The 24,287-nt window shown below is 49.0% G+C and overlaps 1 non-coding gene across 1 annotated transcript, besides 3 other annotated features; it reads left to right on the top strand.

Annotated features, from left to right (window-relative positions):
- Window positions 2,568-2,768: a silencer, noted in NCBI's record as "peak5787 fragment used in MPRA reporter construct". NCBI's record gives its function as "represses an SCP1 promoter by STARR-seq MPRAs in K562 erythroleukemia cells {active_cell/tissue: K562}" and the evidence as "EXISTENCE:reporter gene assay evidence [ECO:0000049][PMID:32103011]".
- Window positions 13,714-13,790, top strand: MIR3925 (microRNA 3925). The gene has a single exon (NR_037491.1). It is a non-coding gene; the product is annotated as a microRNA 3925 (primary transcript).
- Window positions 21,112-21,161: an enhancer, noted in NCBI's record as "active region_24432". NCBI's record gives its function as "activates an Ori minimal core promoter by ATAC-STARR-seq in GM12878 lymphoblastoid cells {active_cell/tissue: GM12878}" and the evidence as "EXISTENCE:reporter gene assay evidence [ECO:0000049][PMID:35858748]".
- Window positions 22,868-23,068: a silencer, noted in NCBI's record as "peak5786 fragment used in MPRA reporter construct". NCBI's record gives its function as "represses an SCP1 promoter by STARR-seq MPRAs in K562 erythroleukemia cells {active_cell/tissue: K562}" and the evidence as "EXISTENCE:reporter gene assay evidence [ECO:0000049][PMID:32103011]".

Here is a 24,287-nt window from a genome sequence, read left to right as displayed (position 1 = left end):
TTGGAGCTTGCTTTTTTTGGATATGAAAATTTGAGTAATATCTGTGTCTCCACTAGGAACTTCCTGAGAGCAGGCAGAATGTCTGCTTTTGTTGACCATCACACCCCAGTCTAAAGACCTATTGAATGAAGCCGGGCATGGGGGCTCATGCCTATAGTCCCAGACCTGCGTACTTGGGGTGAAAGATGCCCCCAGCCCCCCGCCATCCAAGGCCGAGGCAGGCGGACCACCTGAGGCCAGGAGTTTGAGACCAGCCTGGCCAACATAGTGAAACCCTGACTCCACTAAAAATAAAAAAATTAGCCAGGCGTGGTGGTGGGCGCCTGTAATCCCAGCTACTAGGGAGGCTGAGGAAGGAGAGTTGCTTGAACTTGGGAGGCGGAGGTTGCAGTGAGCCATGATCGCAGCACTGCACTCCAGCCTGGGCAACAGAATGAGACTCCGTCTCAAAAAACTAAAAAAGACTTATTGAATGAATGCATGAATGAACTACCACTTCTGTGAGGCCTCCCACCCATTCCCGGTGGCATTCTCCACCCTGTGCTGTGGTCAGCTGTGTACAGTTCTGCCTTTCCAGGACTTGAGGCAGTGAGGGGGCTTCATGAAGAATGTAGGTCGTGGAGCCACTCTGCCTGGGTTCATAGTCAGGCTCTGCCAATTACTAGCTAAAGAATAGCCTTGGGCAAGCTGCTAAACGTCTCTGTGCCTCAGGCTCCCCATCTGTAAAATGAGGGTAATAGTTAATGTATTAATGCATATGACATGCTTAGAGCAGGGTCGGGCACTACGTTTGCCAATGAATGTGGATGCTGTTACCATATCTATATCTGTGGCACCCAGACCCCAGGGCGGGTGCAGCCTAATAGGTGTTCAGCAAAGCACATTATTGATTGAGCCAGCAAAGTATGGGGTTGTTCCTGGAAAAAAGAATACTGAGAGGGGAGTGTGAGCCTGCAGGTGAAGAGGGATAGACCCTAAGAACAGGGAGGAATTAACCGGAAACCCAACTGCCCCGACATGCCGCTACCCTAGAAACGTTTTTTTCCATCTGACAGCAGCAATTCACTCAAGGAGCAGCAGTTGATTCTGGTTTGTGTTTTTTCCAGTACTCACAGAACCAGCCCCCTGGCTCCCCCTCAGAGACACCAGCACCACCAGTAGGCAACCCATCCCCAAAGACTGAGCTTCAGCACCACGGGCACTCCCGCAAGCTTCTAAGTTTTGTTGTTTTTTTTTTTAATACTTTAAGTTCTAGGGTACATGTGCACAACAGTTCTCACTGTTTCCCTTTGTTCCTCCAGCCCGAGGGAAGCCCTGGCTCCTTCTTGTGGTTGTGACTTCCATAATGCTTCAGCGTTCTCTTTTTGCCTTTTCAGTTTTTCAGTACCTAATTAACAATTCTGCATGTTAGATTCTCACTGTTAAAATAACTGGTGTAGGCCGGGGCACGGTGGCTTACGCCTATAATCCCAGCACTTTGGGAGGCCAAGGCAGGCCGATCCCTTGAGCCCAGGAGTTTGAGACCAGCCTGGGCAACATGGTGAAACGCCGTCTCTACAAGAAAAACAAAAATTAGCCTCTTACGGTGCCCGGCATGTAATCATGTTCGCAGGCGCATGCCTGTGGTCCCAGCTACTTGGGAGGCAGAGGTGGGAGGATGGCTTGAGCCCAGGAAGTTGAGGCTGCAGTGAGCCCAGATTGTGCCACTGCACTCCAGCCTGGGCAACAGAGCAAGATCTTGTCTCAAAAACAAGCAAACAAACAAACAAACAAACAAAACACTGGTGTGGTTTGTGTATCCTGACTGGACCCTGACTGATAGACTCACTGAATCCTCAAACTCGAGGTTCGGAGTGTTACAGAGGCAGGAGCCAGGCCCCCTGTACCTCTGACTTGCCTCATGGCTAAGAGAAACAACGGTTTCGGCCCCTTTTTCAGGAATCCTGTGGACTAGAAATGGATGTGCTGCTCACAGGGATATCTAATCAGCACTGGAAAAACTGGGCCAACAGTTAAACCACACAAACAAAAGAGCCACAGCTCCACACAGAACTGCCTGCTGGGCAAATGCCAAAACAAACGGCCACGGTCTCTGGGCCTCATCACGGCTGCAGGCTTCCTGGTCCCTCACGGAGGCCTCTCAAGAAGTAGGGGCTAAGGCCAAGTGCAGTGGCTCATGCCTGTAACCCTATCACTTTAGGAGGCTGAAGCGGGAGGACCACTCGAGCCCAGGAGTTCAAGACCAAACTGGGAAATAAAGCAAGATCCCCCATATCTACAAAATAAAAAAACTAGCCAGGCGTAGTGGCATGTGCCTTTAGTCCCAGCTACTCAGGAGGCTGAGACAGGAGGATCACTTGAGCCCCAGGAGGTCAAGGCTGTAGTGAGCCATGATCACACCATTGCACTCCAGCCTGGGAAACAGAGCGAGACTCTGTCTCAAAAAAAAAAAAAAAGAAGAAGAAGAAGAAGAAGGGCCTCAGAGTCTCTCCTTTCTGGACTCCAAGTCTTCTCTCATTCCCACCAGGACTGAGGAATAGCCAAATGAATCAGGCTGTCCCATTCTGCTCCTCTAGAACATTCTGGTCAAACAGGGAGCCTTCAGTGGTTATTGTCCTGAGTGCATGTCAATGGAGTGACATGCTCATTACATTCATCTGGAGAGCTTCTAAAAATACTGCTGCCTGGGCCTCACCCCAGAGATTCTCGTCCTGGACAGCACTGGTCATTATGTCACTAAAGCTCCCCAGGTGATTCCACTGTGTAGTCAAGATTGAAATTTGGCCGGGCGCGGTGGCCTGCGCCTGTAATCCTAGCACTTTGGGAGGCCAAGGGGGGTGGATCGCCTGAGGTCAGACGTTCGAGACCAGGCTGGCCAACATGGTGAAACCCTGTCTCTACTGAAAATACAAAAATTAATTGGGTGTGATGGTGGGCGCCTGTAATCCCAGCTATTTGGGAGGCTGAGGCAGGAGAATCACTTGAACCTGGGAGGCAGAGGTTGCAGTGAGCCTAGATTGCGCCACTGCACTCCAGCCTGGGTGAGAGTGAGACTGTCTCAAAAAAAAAAAAAAAAACCCAAGATTGAAAAACGGCCAGGCATGGTGGCTCACGCCTGTAATCCCAGCACTTTGGGAAGCCAAGGCAGGCGGATCACGAGGTCAACAGATCAAGACCATCCTGGCCAACATGTTGAAACCCTGTCTCTACTAAAAATACAAAAATTAGCCTGGTGTGGTGGTAGGCGTCTGTAGTTCCAGCTACTCGGGAGGCTGAGGCAGGAGAATCACTTGAACCCGGGAGGCAGAGGTTGCAGTGAGCTGAGATTTCGCCACTGCACTCCAGCCTGGTGACAGAACGAGACTCCATCTCAAAAAAAAAAAAAAAGATTGAAATCCACCTAACTAAAGAATGTATTTGGATGGCAATTCTCAAATTTGAGAGTGTATCAGAATCAGCCGGAGGGCATATTAAACCAGGGGCTGTACAGCCTCGCCCCAAGTTTCTTAGCAGGTCTAGGGTGGGGCCTGAGAATGTGCATTTCTCAAAAGTTCCCAGCTGATGTTCCCGGTCTGGGGACTATACTTTGAGATCACCTGGGTATGGAGTCCAACAGCCCAGGTTCAAATCCCAGCTCTGTCAGATGCAGTTGACTCTCCACCCGGGAGGGTTTTGGGAGGACTGAAGGGCATAACTTGGACAAAGAGCCTCATACGGTGCCCAGCGTGTAATCACGTTCAGGGAATGTGTTTTCACCATGATGTGATTATTAGTAGGAGAGGCTGCAGAAGTCTTGAGTTATAGCATGTGACTTTGAACTATCGTTTTAATCAGAGCCTCAGCTTCCTCATCTGTAAAATGGGATAATAATATCCTGTGGCTCAGCCCTCCTCACAGGCTGTGAAAGGATCAAAGCCGTTCCCAGATGTGAAAGTGTTTGGAAAGCGGCCGGGCGCGGTGGCTCACGCCTGTAATCCCAGCACTTTGGGAGGCCAAGGCGCGCGGATCACGAGGTCAGGAGATTGAGACCACCCTGGCTAACACAGTGAAACCCCATCTCTACTAAAAATACAAAAAATTAGCCGAGCAAGGTGGCAGGCGCCTGTAGTCCCAGCTACTTGGGAAGCTGAGGCAGGAGAATGGCTGAACCCCGGGGGGCGGAGCCTGCAGTGAGCCGAGATCGTGCCACTGCACTCCAGCCTGGGCGACAGCGAGACCCCGTCTCAAAAAAAAGAAAGTGTTTGGAAAGCTGGAAAGCCCAGTAAGGGGGTTTGATAAGACAGGGGTGAGGCGGGAACAGCCCCGTCCTGCAGACATCGTGTAGGGTTCTCTGCTCTCTAGAGACACTGAAGTAGCAGTTGCACATGCTTGTGAAGCGGGTTCCGATGCCCCCCCTCCAGCTGCTCACATGCCTCCCTGCCACCCCTAGCATTTGGAATGCCAACTTGACATGCCTGGAATGCAGGAGTGGCAGGTTGGCTCTTCAGACATCTAAGGGGAAGAGATGGGGGCGTTGTCACACTCCCAGCCCACCCCCCACCCCAGCCGTATTTCTGCCAGGAAAGGGAATGTGGCGGAAGGGATCAAAGCTGTCCAATCAAAGATTCCCTCCACAGGCCCGCACCACACAGTTGCCATCCCTGCGACCCTTCATCTCCCTTTCCATCTGCCCACCCATGCCCCTCCGTCCACCTGGCTCCAGGGAGGGAAGATGGGCAGTAGCTGCACCCCCCAGCCAAGCCAGGAGGGCAGCAAGGAGACAACTGTTCTTCTCAGGTCAGGAGCTCGTCCACTTGGTTTCACACCCTTTCAGTTCAACTTGCAGACACATATTGCACGTCTGCTAGTATACAGCTAGTTAATATTAATGCTCTGTATTTTTTAAAAGAGGTATTCCAGAGGAATGTCCTCACAGGGCCTGAGTTGGAAAGAGCTGAGAGCCCTTGGCTGTAAGGACATGAGAAGTGAGGGGCCCCCACACTGCCAGTGGGGACAGGGGGACAAGTGGGTTTGACTTAATTCAGGGGCAGTTTGGCAGAACAGGTCAAAAGCCTGGAAATGTGCATGCTATGACCCAGGGATCCAGGTCTAGGAATCTGCTCTAAGGAGATATCACAAAATGATCAGTCTGCCGGGCACGGCGGCTCACGCCTGTAATCCCAACACTTTGGGAGGCCGAGGCAGGCAGATCACCTGAGGTCAGGAGTTCGAGACCAGCCTGGCCAACATGGTGAAACCCGGTCTCTACTAAAAATTAAAAAATTAGCCAGGTGTGGTGGCTACTTGGGAGGCTGAGGCACGAGAATCACTTGAACCTGGAAGGCGGAGGTTGCAGTGAGCTGAGATGGTGCCACTGCCCTCTAGCCTGGGCAACAGAGTGATACCCTGCCTCCAAAAACAAACATACAAACAAACAACCAAAATGATCAGCCTGGTTTGAGTCTTGGCTCTAGTGATGGGTGACTTTTTAGCCTCATCCCTAAAATGGGACTTCATGGCATCCCACCACACAGGTTTGAGGAAAAACTGAGACAATGCCTGCCTGCAAGGCGCCTGGGACACAGTAAGTGCTCAATAATATAAGCATCTTGGTTTGGGATCCTCCAGAGGCTGACCCCAAGACAAGGATTTTGGAGGTAAGCCCAGGAAGCACAAGTGGTAATGTGGGGAAGTAAGACTGGGAGGAAAGGAAGCCCAGGGAAGGTGCATTTATCAAGCTCCACCCGGAGCCAGCCACCTGCTTGCAAAAAATGCCTGGAAGTGGAGTCAAAAAGGTGAATGGTCCAGGATTGTCTCTGCTCCTTTAAGTCTTGGTTTTTGTTTTTGTTTTGGTTTTGGTTGTTGAATTGCTTGTTTTGTTTGAGATGGAGTCTCACTCTATCACCTAGGCTGAAGTGCAGTGGATCTATCTCGGTTCACTGCAACCTCTGCTGCCTGGGTTCAAGCAATTCTCCTGCCTCAGCCGTCCAAGTAGCTGGGATTACAGGCGCCTGCCACCGTGCCTGGCTAATTTTTTATTTTTAGTAGAGATGGGGTTTCCCCATGTTGGCCAGGTTGGTCTTGAACTCCTGACCTCGTGATCCACCTGCCTCGGCGTCCCAAAGTACTAGGATTACAGGCGTGAGCCACTGAGTTTGACTTGTTTTGTTTTTTGAGACAAGGTCTTGCTCTGTTGCCCAGGCCGGAGTGCTGTGGCGGGATCTCCACTCACCGGAGCCTTGACCTCGTGGGCTTAAGACTTCCTCCCACCTCCGCCTCTGGAGTAGCTGGGATTACAAGTGCATGTGACCAGGCCTTAGCTAATTTTTTGTTTTTACTTTTTGTAGATATGGGTGTCGCTTTGTTGCCCAGACTGGTCTCAAACTCCTGGGCTCAAGCGATCCTCCCTCCTTGGCCTCCCCAAATGCCAGGATTACAGGTGTGAGCCACCACACCCTGGCATAAGTCTTAGTTTTGTCTGCCTCCATAATTATTTTATGTAAAAGAAAAATCAAACTTTCTCTGGTTTAAGTGACTGACTTGCCTTTTCTGTTATATGTGGCTGAATTCAATCTTTATCTGATGCTGGAGACCAGTGGCTGTCTCACCAGGAAGTTGTCCAAGGGACTCACCCACCTTGGAGACCCAGTGTCATGGTCAGGTGCTATGGTGCCAATATCACACCAAGGAGATGATCTCACCAAGAGACCCTACTCCCTCTTGGAGCCTTATGATGCAGTGAAAAAAAAGGCTTCCTAGGCAGGGGTTCATACTTTTGGCCCAAATCCCCAGGTGTCTGTTACCTCCTCACTGTCCTCTAGCCGCTCAGAGCTCTGTGGTACCACTCCAAGCAAGTACTCCACGCCCCCAACCCTTTCCACACGCTCCCTCGAAATGTAGCTGTTCCCTGTGCCCTTCTCTTTGGTCTCTGCTCGTAGGCAACAGATAGCGCATCTGATATGTGAATTGGAGTTACTGGGTTAATGTGTCACCCTCCCAAGTAATAGATGTGTATTTTTGACAGGGCCTTTCTGGAAACAAGGCCTTATGCCCAGAATTCACCCTCCCGAGTAATAGATGTGTATTTTTGACAGGGCCCTTCTGGAAATAAGGCCTTATGCCCAGAGCTGAATGACGTAAAAATCCCCAGAAAAACAAGAGGCCGCCCTGGTGCTGGTCTCACTTCCTCTGTTCCACTCCTGTTTCCTCCTTTTTTTTTTTTTTTTTTTTTTGGAGACAAAGTCTCACTCTGTCGCCCAGGCTGGAGTGCAGTGGCGTGACCTTGGCTCACTGCAACCTTCATCTCCCGGGTTCAAGTGATTCTCCTGCCTCAGCCTCCAGAGTAGCTGGGATTACAGGCATGCACCACCACACCTGGCTAATTTTGGTTTTTTCTTTGCTTGTTTCTTTGTTGTTGTTTTGTTTTGTTTTTTGAGATGAAGTCTCACTCTGTTGCCCAGGCTGGAGTGCAGTGGTGCGATCTTGGCTCACTGCAGCCTCTACCTCCTAGGTTCAAGTGATTCTCCTGCCTCAGCCTCCCGAGTAGCTGGGATTACAGGCATGCACCACCATGTCTGGCTAATTTTGTTGTTGTTGTTGTTGTTGTTGTTGCTGTTTTCTTTTTTTGAGACAAAGTCTCACTCTGTTGCCCAAGCTGGAGTACAGTGGTGCCATCTCAGCTCACTGCAACCTCCACCTCCTGCATTCAAGTGATTCTCCTGCCTCAGCCTCCCAAGTAGCTGAGACTATAGGCACGTGCCACCATGCCCAGCTAATTTCTGTATTTTCAGTAGAGACGGGGTTTCACTATGTTGGCCAGGCTGGTCTTGAACTCCTGACCTGGTGATCTGCCCGCCTTGGCCTCCCAAAGTGCTGGGATTACAGGCGTGAGCCACCATGCCCGGCCTAATTTTGTACTTTTAGTAGAGACGGGGTTTCTCCATGTTGGTCAGGCTGGTCTCAAACTCCCGACCTCAGGTGATCCACCCGCCTCGGCCTCCCAAAGTGCTGAGATTACAGGCATGAGCCACTGTGCCCAGCCCTGTTTCCTCCTGTATCCTGTCCTCTCCCTTGGCATAGCTGGCCTTGGCCACAGCTCCTAACTCAGCAAATGCCAGGTCCCCACCCTCCTCCACCATTCTGCCTGAGCTCCCATACTGAAAGCGAAAGGAGGCGGTGGAACAGAAAGAAAAAAATAATAAAACCACTGAAAGAGAAGAAACAGCTGGCAGAATATTGGAAAGATTCCCAGGTGGGAATTCCCAGCCCTCAAGGCCTATGTCAGCCAGGCTGAGGAAGTTCTTGAAGAGCAATCTTGAAATCAGCTCTTGACATCGTTCCCAGCTCATGGGAGCACCTAACCCCTTGTCCCTGCCTTGGCCCGGAGGGAGGTATGTGCCTGAAGTTGGAGTTGAATTTTGAGGGACAGAGCAGAGCTAGGGTGGGAGGGAGAGGGTAGGGCAGGGGGTACTCTGGGGAAGAATGGACCCTGGTGGGTAGGGTCACAAGGTGCCTGAGGGTCCAGGCCCTTCTGGGCTTCCAGGGGACAAGGCCTTTCCCCCCAAGGCAGTGCACAGTGAAAAGGAGGCTTGGCAAAGCCATGTGCCCAATGGTATGTGTGAAGGTGTGGGGAGGGGCACTCTAAGAGGCTGAACTGACAGCAGCCAAAAAATAAAGTTGGCTACTCTTACCTAAGGCACGGTGAGATCCTATATCCATTCAGGAAACATGGAGGAAAACTGGAAGAGGCTGGAACAGAGGTCTGGCTTGTGCTTGTGGGAGTCTGGATCAGGTGTGGCAGTGATGGGCAGACAGGGAGACAAGAGCAGTGGTGTCACCTGTGTAAAAGTGTGGCTCTGGCCATGCAAGGGGTCTGCAGACTGGCCACCAAGGGGCTGGTGTCGGAATTTCTCAAAAAGAAATGTGGGCCAGGCACAGTGGCTCACGCCTGTAATCCCAGCACCTTCGGAAGCCAAGGCAGGCAGATCACTTGAGGTCAGGAGTTCGAGACCAGCCTGGCCAACGTGATGAAACCCTGTGTCCACCAAAAATACAAAATTAGCCAGGTGTGGTGGTGCACCTGTAATCCCAGCCACTTGGGAGGCTGAGGCAGGAGAATCACTTGAAACCAGGAGGCGGAGGTTGCAGTGAACCGAGATTGTACCACTGCGCTCCAGCCTGGGTGACAGAGTGAGACTCCATCTCAAAGAAAAAAGAAATGTGAAGGGCCCTGCCATGAAGAGAAGGGAAGAGGGGACAGGTGTGGGTTAGAGTGGCGGATGGGAGTGGGTGTACAACTCATCTAAACACCAAGTTTGGGGATCGGCTGAGGGAATCTGGACAGAAGGCCTGAGCACTATGCAAAGCATCATCACATCATCTGGCTGAGCCTGTGAGCCCCAGAAAGGCCCTCTCACTCCTCATGAATTTCAGTGAATAAAAACAAAAAGCCTAACCCATGGTGAACTGGTAATCAGTCCACTTTGACCAGGGAGGAAATGATTTCTGCCAAGTTCACTAATTCCTGTTAAGATATGACCTGAGAAATGTTCCAAGCCCTATACTGATTCTTCTCTGTCTTCACTCTTTTTCTCCTCCCGAGTGAGGCCCCATATCCCTCCAGCTACCTGTCCTCCCATCAACTCCACACATTTCCAGATTAATCTTCCAAAACCACCAGCTCCCCACTCCCCCTGCCCAGTATTCACCACTCTCCAGACGTGCCCTTGTTCCCTGGTTGACTGGACTTTTGGCTACTTTCTTATTCTCGTGGAGTAGGGGAGCATCATGGTCACCACATGGGCTCTGGGTTTGAATTCTGCCTCCACCATTCAATGCCTTTACTTCCTCATCCATGAAATGGGAATAACAATGCTACTACTTCATGCGGGTGCTTTGAGGATTAAATGAATAAATATATACTCAAAATAGTGCCTGGAGCCGGGGGCGGTGGCTCACGCCGGTAATCCCAGCACTTTGGGAGGCCGAGGCAGGTGGATCACGAGGTCAGGAGATCGAGACCATCCTGGCTAACATGGCGAAACCCTGTCTCTACTAAAAATACAAAAAAAATTAGCCAGGCACGGTGGTGCACACCTGTAATCCCAGCTGCTCGGGAAGCTGAGGCAGGAGAATGGTGTGAACCCGGGAGGCGGAGCTTGCAGTGAGCCGAGATCGCACCACTACACTCCAGCCTGGGCAACAGAGCGAGACTCTGTTTCAAAAAATAAATAAATAAATAAATAAATAAATAAATAATAGTGCCTGGCATGTTTTGAGCTTTTGTTCACTTTTATTATTTATATTGTTGTTAGTCACTAAAATGTCCATAGAGGATGGATTTTGTTTTGTATACCAAACCTATCTCAGTGACTAGAACAATGTCGAGCACGTAGTAGAGGCTCAATTAATAGTGTTGAATTTTTCTATTCTGTAAACTCTGTTCCAGCCAAACTCTTTCCCATGACATACCTTATACATTACCACCTCTCTGCCTTTGCTCATGCTGCTCCCACCTCTTAAAGGGCCCTTGCTCCATCTCACATAACTCCTACCAGCTCCAGCTGCCCCTCTCCTCAGAAGCCCTCCCTGGACTCAGAACCTGCACAAAACAAATGTTCAGTGGTTTGTGGCTAAGGTTTTTTTATGCTTTGGCTCCAAAACAGAGTTTCCTCTCTTCCTGGCACTTAGTGCTCACCACCTCCGGAGATGGCCCCTAAGAAGTGGACCACCCTAGCTACTATATATATGTCCTTTATCTCATGGCTTTGACATTCAGAAAGGGCTTCCCAGGTGAAGCCATCTGAATTACTAGACATAACCAGACATGTGGTCTCCAAGCCACATTTTCTGGGCTTCTTAATTGGTGAGTTGAGAGACACGGCATCTGTTTGCCCAAGAAATCTGAGCCAAGCAGTTCCACATCAACAGGCTGCTTTCCACCCTGGACGGCACAACAGCTGCCTAAAACTTAGCTGTTTACACACTAAAAAAAGAAATTCCATGGAGACCAGTTGACTCAAGCCAGCTCCCAGTGTGAGGCAGAGAAGGGTTTCAAAGCAATCCCCAATGACACCAAAAGCTCTCCACCCAGTTCTCGATAAAAATAAAAAAGAAAACAAGAGCGAAATTAGAGCCAAGAATGAAGACTGCCTGGAGGATGAGGTGTTGGAAGCTGGAGTTGGACTGGGAATCAGCCTGACAGTTCCCTCCAGGCAGGCTTGTCCGCTGCCACCCCTGTCCCCACCGCAGGGATGGGACACTCACCACTTCTTGAGAAAGCCCATTTCGCCATTGGGAAGGTTTATTAAACATGAAATGAGGGAAAAGCCTAGTAGCTCCATCGGATTGGGAAGAATGGCAAAGAGAGACAGGAGTCATTTTCTAGAAAGCAATCTTCACACCTGTTGGTCCTCACCCATTGAATGTCCTCACCCAATCTCCAACACAGAAATGAGTGACTGTGTGTGCACATGCGTGTGCATGTGTGAAGGTATGAGTGTGAATGTGTCTATATGGGAACATATATGTGATTGTATGTGTGTAACTATGTGTGACTGGCAGCGTGGGGAGTGCTGGTTGGGAAGGTCCTCTCTGGAAGGCTGGGAGTGCAGAGGACAAGAGACTGACCTTGCTGAGTGGAAGCCATGGGCCAGGCTCTCCCCAGTCCTCATTGCCTAGAATGTCTTCTCCACACCCACCAGACGAGTACCACTCACACCCTAGACCTTCTTCTAAGTGCATCACGTACATAGCTCTTTTCATCCTCACACACTGCCGGGAAGGTAAGCTTGGTTACTTCTGCCATTTTACAGGTGGGGAAACTGAGGCTAAGAGAGGTTAACTTCTGCCGGCAACACTTGGAAATGGTTGGTATGGTTGGAAGCCGGCACCGCTGGGCCCAGGGTCTGGGGCTAAGTGGAATTCAGTGTGGGTCTTTCCTTTCCCATTAGAACCCCTCAAGTGTCAGACCCTCTGCCCCTCCTCGCAGTACTTCCGCCTTGCCTCATGCCTCCCAGGCACTATCTCTGTGAACTTTGAGCTCTGCCCCTATTGCCCAAGAAAGGCTCGCTGATGAGGAGGAAATTGCCCAGGTTTATAGTTTCCTCCCAGCCTCTCTGGCGACACCTGAGCCTGCTGCTTCTCCCCTTCCGCCTCCCGCCACAGTCATACACACAGCCACTCATGCATACTCACATCACACCACACTCCAACCAGCACTCCCCACGCTGCCAGTCACACATAGTTACACACATACAATCACATATATGTTCCCATATAGACACATTCACACTCATACTTTCACACATGCACACGCATGTGCACACACAGTCACTCATTTCTGTGTTGGAGATTGGGTGAGGACATTCAATGGGTGAGGACCAACAGGTGTGAAGATTGCTTTCTAGAAAATGACGCCTGTCTCTCTTTGCCATTCTTCCCAATCCAATGGAGCTACTAGGCTTTTCCCTCATTTCATGTTTAATAAACAAGCCGCTCTTGCGGAACGATGGTTGGATCCCTCATCAACCACCACACACTCCCGACCCCACCCTCCTTCCTGCCCCTGCCAGCAAACCTGACAGGTCCAAGGCCTGGAATTGAGAACCTGTTTTCTTCCCCATCCTGCCCCCTTGTGACGGGAGCCTAGAACTGCTGGCTCTGCGCCCAGAGGTTAACCACATTTCTCAGGAAGGTTCCAGTAGCCAGGCGGGTTGTTAGGAGAGGTCTGTATCCAACTCCCCTCCTCCTGCAGAGGGGCAAACTAACTAAATGAAGATCCACTCTTCCTTCACCCCGATCCTCAGGGCCACCAGAAGAGCTGACTGCTGTTTCACAGGCACACTCCACTGGCACAGGAGATGGGTGGGTGTGCCAACTGGACCAGCATATGGCAGGACCCTTATGATGATCAAGCCTACAGTCATCATACAATCACAGGATTGTTGCCCTATATCCATATTTTCTTGACACCCTAATAGTGCATTTGGCTAAACCTTGGTGAAATAGGCATGACAGCATGTGACTGTGCCGCCTCTGACACTGACCACCCAGGCCTTTCTCTTCACTCCTTCCCTGAGGCCTTGGAGGGTCTGCCTGTGGCCTTTAGTCTGGTGTTTGAGCTCACAGAACTGGGTGTGGTTGACCCTCCCTTTGTCCTCACCCCCTCCACACACACACAGGGATGCTCTTGCAGGCTCCTGGTTTGATGAGGCAGCCCAGGATGTGTCCCCACCTTTCCTCTTTGAGCCCAGGGCCAGTGTATTTCAGGCCGAGTGATTTCACCCAGGGTCTTGTTTCCATTCCATTTTATTTTTAGTCCTCAGGTGCAGTGGGATGAGTCCCTCCTATTCCCCAGGTGATGGCTGGCTGTCATCATTGGTCCTGACTAGTCACCTCTTGCTTCATGTATTCCCCCCTCACTCCATTGTCATTTCCATGCCCCCACCCCACAGGCAGCCATTCTACTATATCCTTTATTTGTATGTGTTCTTGTGCAGTGCTTTGTAGGCATGGATTTTGGTACTGCAAAGTGCTGCATTGTACACATAGTATTGCATAGTGTTGCCTTATTACCATTTCTGTAACAAACTGAATGTGTTACTTTATGTTGGAGCGTGGTGGAGCCTTAAGAATTTATTGAGAATCTCTGCATTAATGATTATGAAAGTGACTGCAAGTTTTCGCTGAGTCTTATTTCCTGAACATAAACTCAGGATCCTGGACCATGGTCATGTGGGAATAGCAAGAGAACTGAAAGTGGAGCCTGTCACATCTCCAGACTCCAGTTTTAGTTCTCTTGCTATTTCCACCACATCTTTCATCACTTCCTCCACTAAAGTCTTGAACTCCTCAAAGCCATCCACGTGGGCTGGAATCAACTTCTTGATGATGGATGAAGCCACTTCCTTGTGGCTGGAACCAACTTCTGTGTTTCCTAAAATGGGGACAGCAATAGTACCTACTCTCTAAAATTTGTTGTGGGCTAGGTGCGGTGGCTCACGCCTGTAATCCCAGCACTTTGGGAGGCCGAGGCAGGCAGATCATGAAATCAGGAGATCGAGACCATCCTAGCTAACATGGTGAGACCCTGTCTCTACTAAAAATACAAAAAATTAGCCGGGTGTGGTGGCGGGCGCCTGTAATCCCAGCTACTCGGGAGGCGGAGGCAGGAGAATCACTTGAACCTGGGAGGTGGAGGCTGCAGTGAGCCAAAATCACGCCACTGCACTCCAGCCTGGGCGACAGAGGGAGACTCCGTCTCAAACAAAAAAGAAAATATTTTTTGTGAAGATCAAATGGGTTAATACAAGTGAAGAGTGCCTGGCACTACTAGTGCTCAGTAAACATTGTTTATGGATGCTTTCTTTTTTTTTTTTATTAGGCCTTATAATAGCCCTATGAGGTAATATAATTAGTTCCATTTCACTGATGAAGAGACCAAGGTCCAGGGAACAAAACAACTTGCCCAGGTTTGCATCATGATACTGCCAGAAGCTAAATCTAGATCTTCAGACCCCAAGACGGCCACAGGACCTCGATCCCCATGTGTTCCCTAGAGGTGTTGTGCAGAACCTTCCTGATGCTGATCTGGATGACGAGCGGTCACCCACAGGCTGCTGGAGATGATTCCTGGTCGGGTGGCCCTCAGTCCTCCTTGATCTTTCTCCCACACTGTGATCTTCACACCCACTGGCCATTCCTGAGAAAGAACCTGCCTTCTCCAGGGCTTTTGTGGGTGCCCATGTTCACCAAGCAGCCTCTAAAGTGATGTGAATCCTAGCGCCAGGCCTGGTAGTAGCACATATGCATGGTAGATGCGTGCTGGAAAAGCAGGAGCCCTAGGAGCCTGCCTTGGGTTCTAGTCCTAGCCATCCATTGCCTCACCCTAGGGTCTAACTTTCTATCTCTAACCTTCAGTTTCCACATCTGCACAATGGGGATAGGAACTTTTCTGTGAGGATCAAGTAGGTTTTAGGAGACTATTCCAATCTTGATCAAATACTAACAGTCGCCTGAACCCTGCAGAACAATCCCTGCTTGTTGTACAGTCTGATGCCACCTCAGATGAACCATTACCCACTGTATGCACTGAACATTTTCCCCTCCCCTCCAGGAAGATCATCCTCTGGATCTGCCCTCCTCACAACGGCCTTATTGCTTTTCTGGAGTCACCGAATCTTAGAATATCGGTGCTGGAAAAGAACTTGAGGACCATCAGTCCCAGTGTGGCAAACTTATCTCCTTATCAAGGACCCCCGCTGCCTAAAGCAGTGGTTGACTCAGTCATTGCTCCCCTCACTGCAGGGTGCAGTGTGAAGAGGGGACAGATCATCCTGTGAGTTACAGGCCACCTTCAGCCCAAATACCCCCTTTCTACAGATAGGCAAACTGAGTAAATGATGATCCCAACTTCCTTCACCTGACCCTCGCCTCAGGGCTACCAGGAGATAGGGACGCCATGTTGGCACAGGAGATGGGTGGGTATGCCACCTTCCCCATGGGCAGGCCCCTATTGCGGTCACATCTCAAGTGACTACTTACAACCATCAAACAATTAGGGTTTACTGGTGGATGTCTTTATCTTTTTGACATTCTGTAGAATTATGCTAACAGATTTTGGAAAACAATTTGCCCAAAATCTACGTGACTTCATCCTTTGATTTTTGTTTGTTTGTTTGAGACAGGGTCTTGCCCTTCACTCAGGCTGGAGTGCAGTGGCGCCATCACAGCTCACTGCAGCCTTGACCTTCCAGGCTCAAGTGATTCTTGTGCCTCAGCCTTCCAAGCGGCTGGGATTACAAGCGTGCACCACCACGCAGCTTTTTTGTTTTTTTGGTTTTTTTTTTGAGATGGAGTCTTGCTCTGTCACCCAGGCTGGAGCGCATTGGCGTGATCTCGGCTCACTGCAACCTCTGCCTCCCGGGTTCAAGCGATTCTCCTGCCTCAGCCTCCCAAGTAGCTGGGACGACAGGTGCGTGCCACCACACCCAGCTAATTTTTGTATTTTTAGTAGAGACGGGGTTTCACCATATTGGTCAGGCTGGTCTTGAACTCCTGACCTCATGATCTGTCCTCCTCAGCCTCCCAAAGTGCTGGGATTACAGGCATGAGCCACCGCACCCAGCCATGCCTGGCTAATTTTTGTATTTTTAGCAGAGACAGGGTTTCGCCATGTTGGCCAGGCTGGTCTCGAATGTCTGGCCTCAAGTGATCTGCCTGCCTCGGCCTCCCAAAGTGCTGGGATTACAGACGTGAGCCACCACACCTGGCCTTAATTTTTGTATTTTTTGTAAAAATGCAGTTTTGCCATGTTGCCAGGGTGACTTCACCCATTTTCAATGCAGAATTTTAACACAAGAGTGTACTTTAGCCAGTGAAATGTGCACGCTTACTTCTTTTAGGAAAAAACTGAAATATTTGCTGGGAACCCCACAACAGTTGCCACAGGAAAGACCAGAAGAAAGCAAAAACAGGTAAGGAGCATCCTTTAAAGTGAGGGGAGGCCGGGCTCATGCCTATAATCCCAGCACTTTGGGAGGCCAAGGCGGGCAGATCACTTGAGGCTAGGAGTTCGAGACCAGCCTTTAGCAACATAGCCAAACCCTGTCTCTAATAAAAATACAAAAATTAGCCGAGCATGGTGGCACGCACCTGTAATCTCAGCTTATTGGGAAGCTGAGGCAGGAGAATCACTTGAACTCAGGAGGCAGAGGTTGCAGTGAGCCAAGATCGCACCACTGCACTCCAGCCTGGGTGACAGAGCAAGACCTTGTCTCAAAAAAAAAAAAAAAAATGTGAAGGGAAAGCCCACAATGATAGCACTTTCATGCTGGCAAGCCCACGGATGGTGCATACTCAGTGTCTCTGGGGGAGCAAAACTCAGGAGCCGACAGCCCTCACCTAGTCAGGTGGTTTATTCACAAACTGTCCACTCCCAGGACTTCAGGATGGGGCAAGTCACAAAGCAGGATGTTTTCAGTGGGGAATGTTTAAGTCCTTCAAGGAAAATACCGTATCATGAGCTTTTCAGGGACAGGTATCTGTGACCCACCTGTGTGCAATGCCTCTGTGGTCCTGATATTCTGGTGCTGGGCTTGGACTCAAGCTGTGGGTTTCAACCCAGCTTAACCTTATCTGCATGACCTTGGGGAAGGCACTTCCTCTTTCTGGAATTCAATTGTCTCGTTTGCAAAGTGGGACCATGATATCATCTCTACAAAACCCTCTAAACACAAATGAAGAAACTTCCCATACCAAGCACCCAGAATAAAGAAAAAGGCTAGAAAAACCAGAAGCTATTGAATCACTTTTTTCCCTTTTTTTGCTTATATGTGCTAATTTTTCTACCATGGTCATGGGTTACCTTTGAATTATTATAAAAGTGAGTAATTAAAGGGGGTGGAGCAGAGCTGATGTGAAGGAAAACGCTGAGCTTGGCAACTTTCAGGGCCTCCTCTGTGCCAGGCACAGTTGCTGATGCTTCACCTATGTGACCTCATCTCTTTGTCCCAACAAGCCTGAAAGGGAGGCATTATGGCTCCTACTTCCAGCTGGGGAGACTGAGGTTCCCGAAGGAGTCAAGCCCTCACTATCATGAGAGCCTGTGGTGATGGTGATGTACCAGGAAGGCGCATACAGATGTGTGGCAGCAGCAGCAAGGTGAGCACTGCAACTCTGAGAAAGCGGAGCCTCCCCCCTTTCTTGAGACACTGCCTCAGAGCCTCTGAGAAAAGCCTTCCCCACTGGTGATACGCCACGAACCTGCTCCTGGGGGACCTGCTCTGGATTCTTTTAAGATCAAAAAAGTTTATTATTAAATAGCAGCATCGTGTCCAGTCAGAAAAGCTTAAGTGTATGAACGTCCTTTTTTATTTTATTTTTTTTGAGACAGAGTCTCCGTCTGTCTCCCAGGCTGGAGTGCAGTGGCGTGATCTTAGTTAACTGCAAGCTCCGCCTCCCGGGTTCACGCCATTATCCTGCCTCAGCCTCCCGAGTACTGGGACTACAGGCGCCCACCACCACGCCCGGCTAATTTTTTGTATTTTTAGTAGAGGCAGGTTTTCACCATGTTAGCCAAGATGGTCTCGATCTCCTGACCTCTCGTGATCCGCCCACCTTGGCCTCCCAAAGTGCTGGGATTACAGGCATGAGCCACCACGCCCAGCCTGAATGTACTTTTAAAACATGTTTCTGCTGCTGGGCGCGGTGGTTCACGCCTGTAATCTCAGCACTTTGGGAGGCCAAGGTGGGTGGATCACTTGAAGTCAGGAGTTCGAGACCAGCCCGGGCAACATGTCAAAACCCTCTCTACTAAAAATACAAAAATTGGGCGTGGTGGCACATGCCTGTAGTCCCAGCTACTTGAGAGACTAAGGCAGGAGGATCACTTGAACCCAGGAGGCAGAGGTGAGCCGAGATTGCGCCACTGCACTCCAGCCTGGGCAACAGAGCAAGACTCTGTCTCAAAAACAAAAACACATGTTTCTGCATAAAAGCATTGTTTGTATGCCATATTCTCCTTCTATTGAGTAGCAACACAATTCATCCTCTAAACAAAAAATGCTAATTATACTTTGCTAAAACATATCTCCAAATATGGATTTAATAAAATGCTTTTCTCAAAAAAGAAAATAAAAAGGGTCCTGCCATTTATAAGTAGATTGCTTCTTTCAAAAGGCAAATGCCAATAAATGACACTTCATCCTGGAGATGTGTAGTCCACCTGTTCTGTGCCCCTGAGCCACCACCTGTTGCCAATGTGTCTGCAGCCAACAGGGCTAGTCCTAGTAACACGGTGCCCCACCCCACACCACTGCCCCACCCTGATACTGAAACTGCAGCTGATGGGGTAATGCTCTGAGCTGCCCAGAGGAATGAGGCAGACAAGTCCTGCTGTGGCCTGGAAAACCCTCAAAAGAGTCAGTGCAATTCTCAAGATCACAGGTATCTGCCTGTTGCTCAAGAGTCCCAACCTGGCCACAGTGAGGGTAGTGAGTGATAGAACAGGGGAAAGGAGACAGCCTGTGGCGCTGGCTCGGGCACAAACCACTGGTGAATCAGACCTGAATTGATTCCTGGAGCCAAGTACTGTTTGCCATCTGTCTGAGGCTTTATCTGCCAGGGAGATGGGCAAGTGGCCAGAGCCCTCTCAGGGTGAGGGGTTGAACAGCCAGGCTCCAGCACACTGCCATACCAGATGTCATGACTGGTCACTCAGAAAGGGCACCGGATGGGGTGGCAGGAGGCCGAGCCCCTGGAGATGGCCCCCCTAGGCTCCCTGAGTCTCAGCCACCCCCTCCTCCTCCCTGGGCCTCAGGCTCTTCATCTGTAGCATGAAGGTGTGGGCAGTATAAGGACTTTTCCCACTATGGCTGCAGAGGGCTCACAGGCACTTGGTTGAGTTGAAAATATATACAGGTCTAACAATTTTTAAGTTTTCTGTTTTTTCCCCCACATAAAACCTATTCAACCAAATGCCTATAAACATGTTGGGGTGATGTTCTTCTGACGTCTGTGCTTCTAGGTTGTTTATGGGATGGACCTTCCTATCCTGTCACCTCGGGGATTGCAAAATAAAGTGTTAAAAAATGTTACCATTTGCACTTCTCTATTCAACCAAAATAACAGAAGGAAATTGGATTTCTCTTGTCTTTATGAGCCAATATTATTAGAACCTATACTTTTTATAGCTATACCATTTTTAGCTGTTTTCTGTATTCTACATAAGATTTCATTCCAAAAACTTTAACTATGTTTAAAGTTTGAAAATCACCATCCCTGGCTGGGCATGGTGGCTCACGCCTGTAATCCCAACACTTTAGGAGGCCGAGACAGGCAGATCACCTGAGGTCAGGAGTTCCCGACCAGCCTGGCCAACATGGTGAAACCCTGTCTGTACTAAAAAAGCAAAAATTGGCCGGGCGCAGTGGCTCACGCTTGTAATTCCAGCACTTTGGGAGGCCAAGGCAGGCAGATCATAAGGTCAAGGAGATCGAGACCATCCTGGCTAACACGGTGAAACCCCATCTCTACTAAAAATACAAAAAATTAGCCGGGCGTGGTGGCGGATGCCTGTAGTCCCAGCTACTCAGGAGGCTGAAGCAGGAGAATGGCGTGAACCCGGGAGACAGAGCTTGCAGTGAGCTGAGATCGCGCCACTGCACTCCAACCTGGGCGACAGAGCAAGACTCCGTCTCAAAAAAAATAAATAAATAAAAAATAAAAATTAGCCAGGCGTGGTGGCAGGCGCCCATAATCCCAGTTATTCAGGAGGCTGAGGCACGAGAATTGCTTGAACCCGGGAGGCGGAGGTTGCAGTGAGCCGAGATCACATCACTCTACTTCAGCCTGGGAAATAAAGTGAGACTCAGTCTCAAAAAAAAAAAAAAAAAAAGAAAAAGAAAAAGGAAATCACCATCCCTGATAATCTCTAAGGTCCCTGTAGCTCTGACATTCTACTAGTCTACCTACCATTCTAAAGCTCTGAACAAATTCATAGGGTTTTAAACCTGTCAACATGGAACCTTTTAGTTTCCTGCCTTTGTTTTTATGCACTTGGCTCTTCATATATCCAACTTCCTATCCAAATCCCATTCTTTCAGCACTTCAGTAAAACCCCTTCCTCACAAAGCACTTAACATGGGTCTTGGATCTAAGCCTTGGTTTCAAAATAGGGTAACAGAGCCTCCCTCAAGTGGTTAGGTTTAAGTGAGTAGGTAGTATGTATATGTAAAATGTTTAGCAAAATGCTGATACATAAAGCTCAAGGATCAGTAATTACTGTTATGATTATCTTTGTTAATGTGTTATTATTGTCATGGTGGAAAAGTCAGTGCAGACTCAATTCCCTGAAGAGATGTGCAACCTCAGGCAAAAAGTCTGGCCCATTCTCGATGGTGCAGTACTGCCTCCTAGTGGGTAGCTGGGCATTTTTTTTTCTTTTTTTTTTTTTTTAGACTCCTGTCCCCCAGGCTGGAGCGCAGTGATGCAATCACGGCTCACTGCAACCTCAATTTCTCAGACTCAAGCGATCCTCTCACCTCAGCCTCCAGAGTAGCTGGGACAACAGGCACGTGCTACCACACCCGGCTAATTTTTTATTTTTAGTAGAGACAAGGTCTTGCTATGTTGCCCAGACTGACTCCTGAGCTCAAGCAATCCTCCCACCTCTGCCTCTCAGCCCAAGTGCTGAGATTACAGGCATGAGCCAGTGCGCCCAGCCAATTTTTTTTTTTTTTAATGACTGTCACACTGGCCAGGGAGGTTAACTGGCTGTAGGGTGAAGAGGACAGAGATATTAAATGTCTGGCACACAAAGAATTGCCCATGCCCACAGGACTGAATCCATTACAGGTATAAAATATAAAAAGTGCTTTAAATTTTTCGAAACCTGGCTGGGCACGGTGGCTCACGCCTGTAATCCCAGCACTTTGGGAAGCTGAGGCAGGTGAAATCACCTGAGGTCAGGAGTTCAAGATCAGCCTGGCCAACATGGTGAAACCCCGTCTCTACTAAAAATACAAAAAAAATTAGCTAGGCTTGGTGGCAGGTGCCTGTAATCTCAGCTACTCGGGAGGCTGAGGCTGGAGAATCACTGGAACCCAGGAGGCAGAGGTTGCAGCGAGCCAAGATCGCGCCATTGCACTCCAGCCCAGGTGATGGAGATTCCATCTAAAAAAAAAATAAAAATTCAAAAGCTGGGGAACTTAGCACAAGAAAACATTATGTGCACATTTCACATATAGACATACCTCAGATATATATGGGTTCAGTTCCAGACCATGTCAATAAAGCAGGTCACACAATTTGTTTCCCAGTGTATATAAAAGTTATGTTTACATTGTACTGTAAGTGTGCAAAAGCATTATGTATTTAAAAATGTACAGGGGCTGGGCATGGTGGCTCATGCCTGTAATCCCAGCACTTTGAGAGGCCGAAACAAGTGGATGGCTTGAGCCCAAGAGTTTGAGACCAGTCTGGGCAACATGGTAAGATCTCATCTCTAAAAAAATACAGGCCAGACGCAGTGGCTCACGCCTGTAATCCCAACACTTTGGAAGGCCGAGGCAGGCGGATTACCTGAGGTCAGGAGTTCGAGACCAGCCTGGCCAACATGGTGAAACCCTATTTCTACTAAAAATACAAAAATTAGCAGGGCATGGTGGTGGCTGCCTATAATCCCAGCCACTCGGGAGGCTGAGGCAGGAGAATCACTTGAATCCAGGAGGCAGAGGTTGCAGTGAGCCAAGATCGCACCACTGCACTCCAGCCTGGGTGACAGAATGAGACTCTGTCTCAAAAAAAAAAAAAAAAAAATTAGCCAGGCATAGTTGTGTGGGCCTGTAGTCCCAGCTATTCAGGAGGCTGAGGCAGGAGGATCACTTAAGCCCAGGAATGCTTACAATCATATAAGCCTTCAGCCACATAACCTTGCTGGTGGAGGGTCTTCCCTCAGTGTTGATGGCTGCTGACTGATCAGGATTGTGGTCGCTGAAGGCTGGAGTGGCTGTGGCAATTTCTTAAAATAAGACAATAATGAGGTTTGCCGCATTAACTGACTCTTGTTTTCACAAGATGTCTCTGTAGTATCTGATGCTATATGATAGCATTTTGCCCACAGTAGAACTTCTTTCAAAGTTGGAGTCAATGCTCTGAAACTCTGCCATTGCTTTTTCAACTAAGTTTATGCAATATTCCAAATCTTTTGTTGTCATTTCAACAATGTGTGCAGCACCTTCAGCAATAGATTCCATCTCAAGAAACCACTCTTTGCTCATCCATTGAAACAAGTCTTCATTCGTTCAAGTTTTATCATGAGATTACAGCAATTCCGTCACATCTCTACGCTCCGTTTTTAGTTCTCTTGCTGTTTTTTCCACCACATCTGTCATTACTTCCTCCACTGCAGTCTCAAACCCCTCAGTCATCCATGTGGGTTGGAATCAACTTCTTCCAAACTGCTAATGTTGATATTTTGACCACCTCCCATGAATCGCATGTGTCGTTAATGACATGTAAAGCAGTGAATCCTTTCCAAAAGATTTTCAATTTACTTTGCCCAGATCCATCAGAGGAATAAATATCTATAGCAGTATAGCCTTATGAAATGTATTTCTTAATAAGACGTGAAAGCTGAAATGACTCCTTGATCCACCGGCTGCAGAGTGGATGTTGTGTTTGCAGGTATGAAACTACTAATCTCCCTGTACATCTCCAGCAGAGCTCTTGGGTAACCAGGTGTATTGTAAATGAGCAGTAATATTTTGAAAGAAATCTTTTTTGAGCAGGTCTCAATAGTAGGCTTAAAATATTCAGTAAACCTGGCTGGGCACGGTGGCTGACACCTGTAATCCTAGCACTTTGGAAGGCTGAGGCAGGCGATCACTTGAGGTCAGGAGTTCAAGACCAGCCTGGCCAACACGGTGAAACCTCACCTCTACTAAAAATACAAAAAATTAGTCGGGCGTGGTGGCAAGCGCCTGTAATCCCAGCTACTTGGGAGGCTGAGGCAGGAGAATCGCTTGAACCTGGGAGGCAGAGGTTGCAGTGAGCCGAGATAGCACCACCGCACTCCAGCCTGGGCGACAGAGCAAGACTCCTGTCTGAAAAAAAAAGAAAAAAAGAAAAAAAAACAGTAAACCATCCTATAAACAGATGGGCTGTCACCCAGGCTTCGTTCCATTTATAGGGCACAGGCAGAGTAAATTCAGCACAATTAAGGGTCTTGGGAATTTCAGAACAATAAATGAGCATTGGCTTCCACCAGCTGCCTCAGTCCTCAACGAGTTAGCCTGGGCGGGGCATAGAAGCTCCACGCCTGCAATCCCAGCGGAGTTCAGGAGTTTGTAAAGATGGGGTCTCACCAGACTGGTCTCCTGGGCAACATGGTGAGACCCAATCTCTACAAAAAAATTTTTACAAATCAGCTGAGCATGGTGGCGCGTGCCTGTGGTCCCAGCTACTTGGGAAGCTGAGGCAGGAGAATCGCTTGAGCCCAGGAGGTTGAGCCGTGTTTGTGCCACTACACTCCAGCCTGGGCCACAGAGCAAGAGCCTGTACCAAAAGCAAAACAAAAAATCAAGAGTAAGACTGTCCTTTGAAGCTTTGAAACCAGGCGTTGGCTTCCCCTCTCTAGCTATGAAAGTCCCAGATGGCATCTTGTTCCAATGGAAGGCTTTTTTCTACAATGAAAATGTTTAGTGTAGTCACCTTCATCCATTATCTTAGGTAGATCTTCTGGATAACTTGCAGCTTCTACATCAGCACTTGCTGCTTCACCTTGCACTTTTTGTTTTTTTGTTGTTGCT

This window comes from Homo sapiens, chromosome 6 (assembly GCF_000001405.40).
Source record: "Homo sapiens chromosome 6, GRCh38.p14 Primary Assembly".
In the NCBI taxonomy this organism is placed as follows: Eukaryota; Metazoa; Chordata; class Mammalia; order Primates; family Hominidae; genus Homo; species Homo sapiens.
Note: the sequence above shows the minus strand (reverse complement) of the source record. Positions and strands in the feature narration are given on the sequence as shown.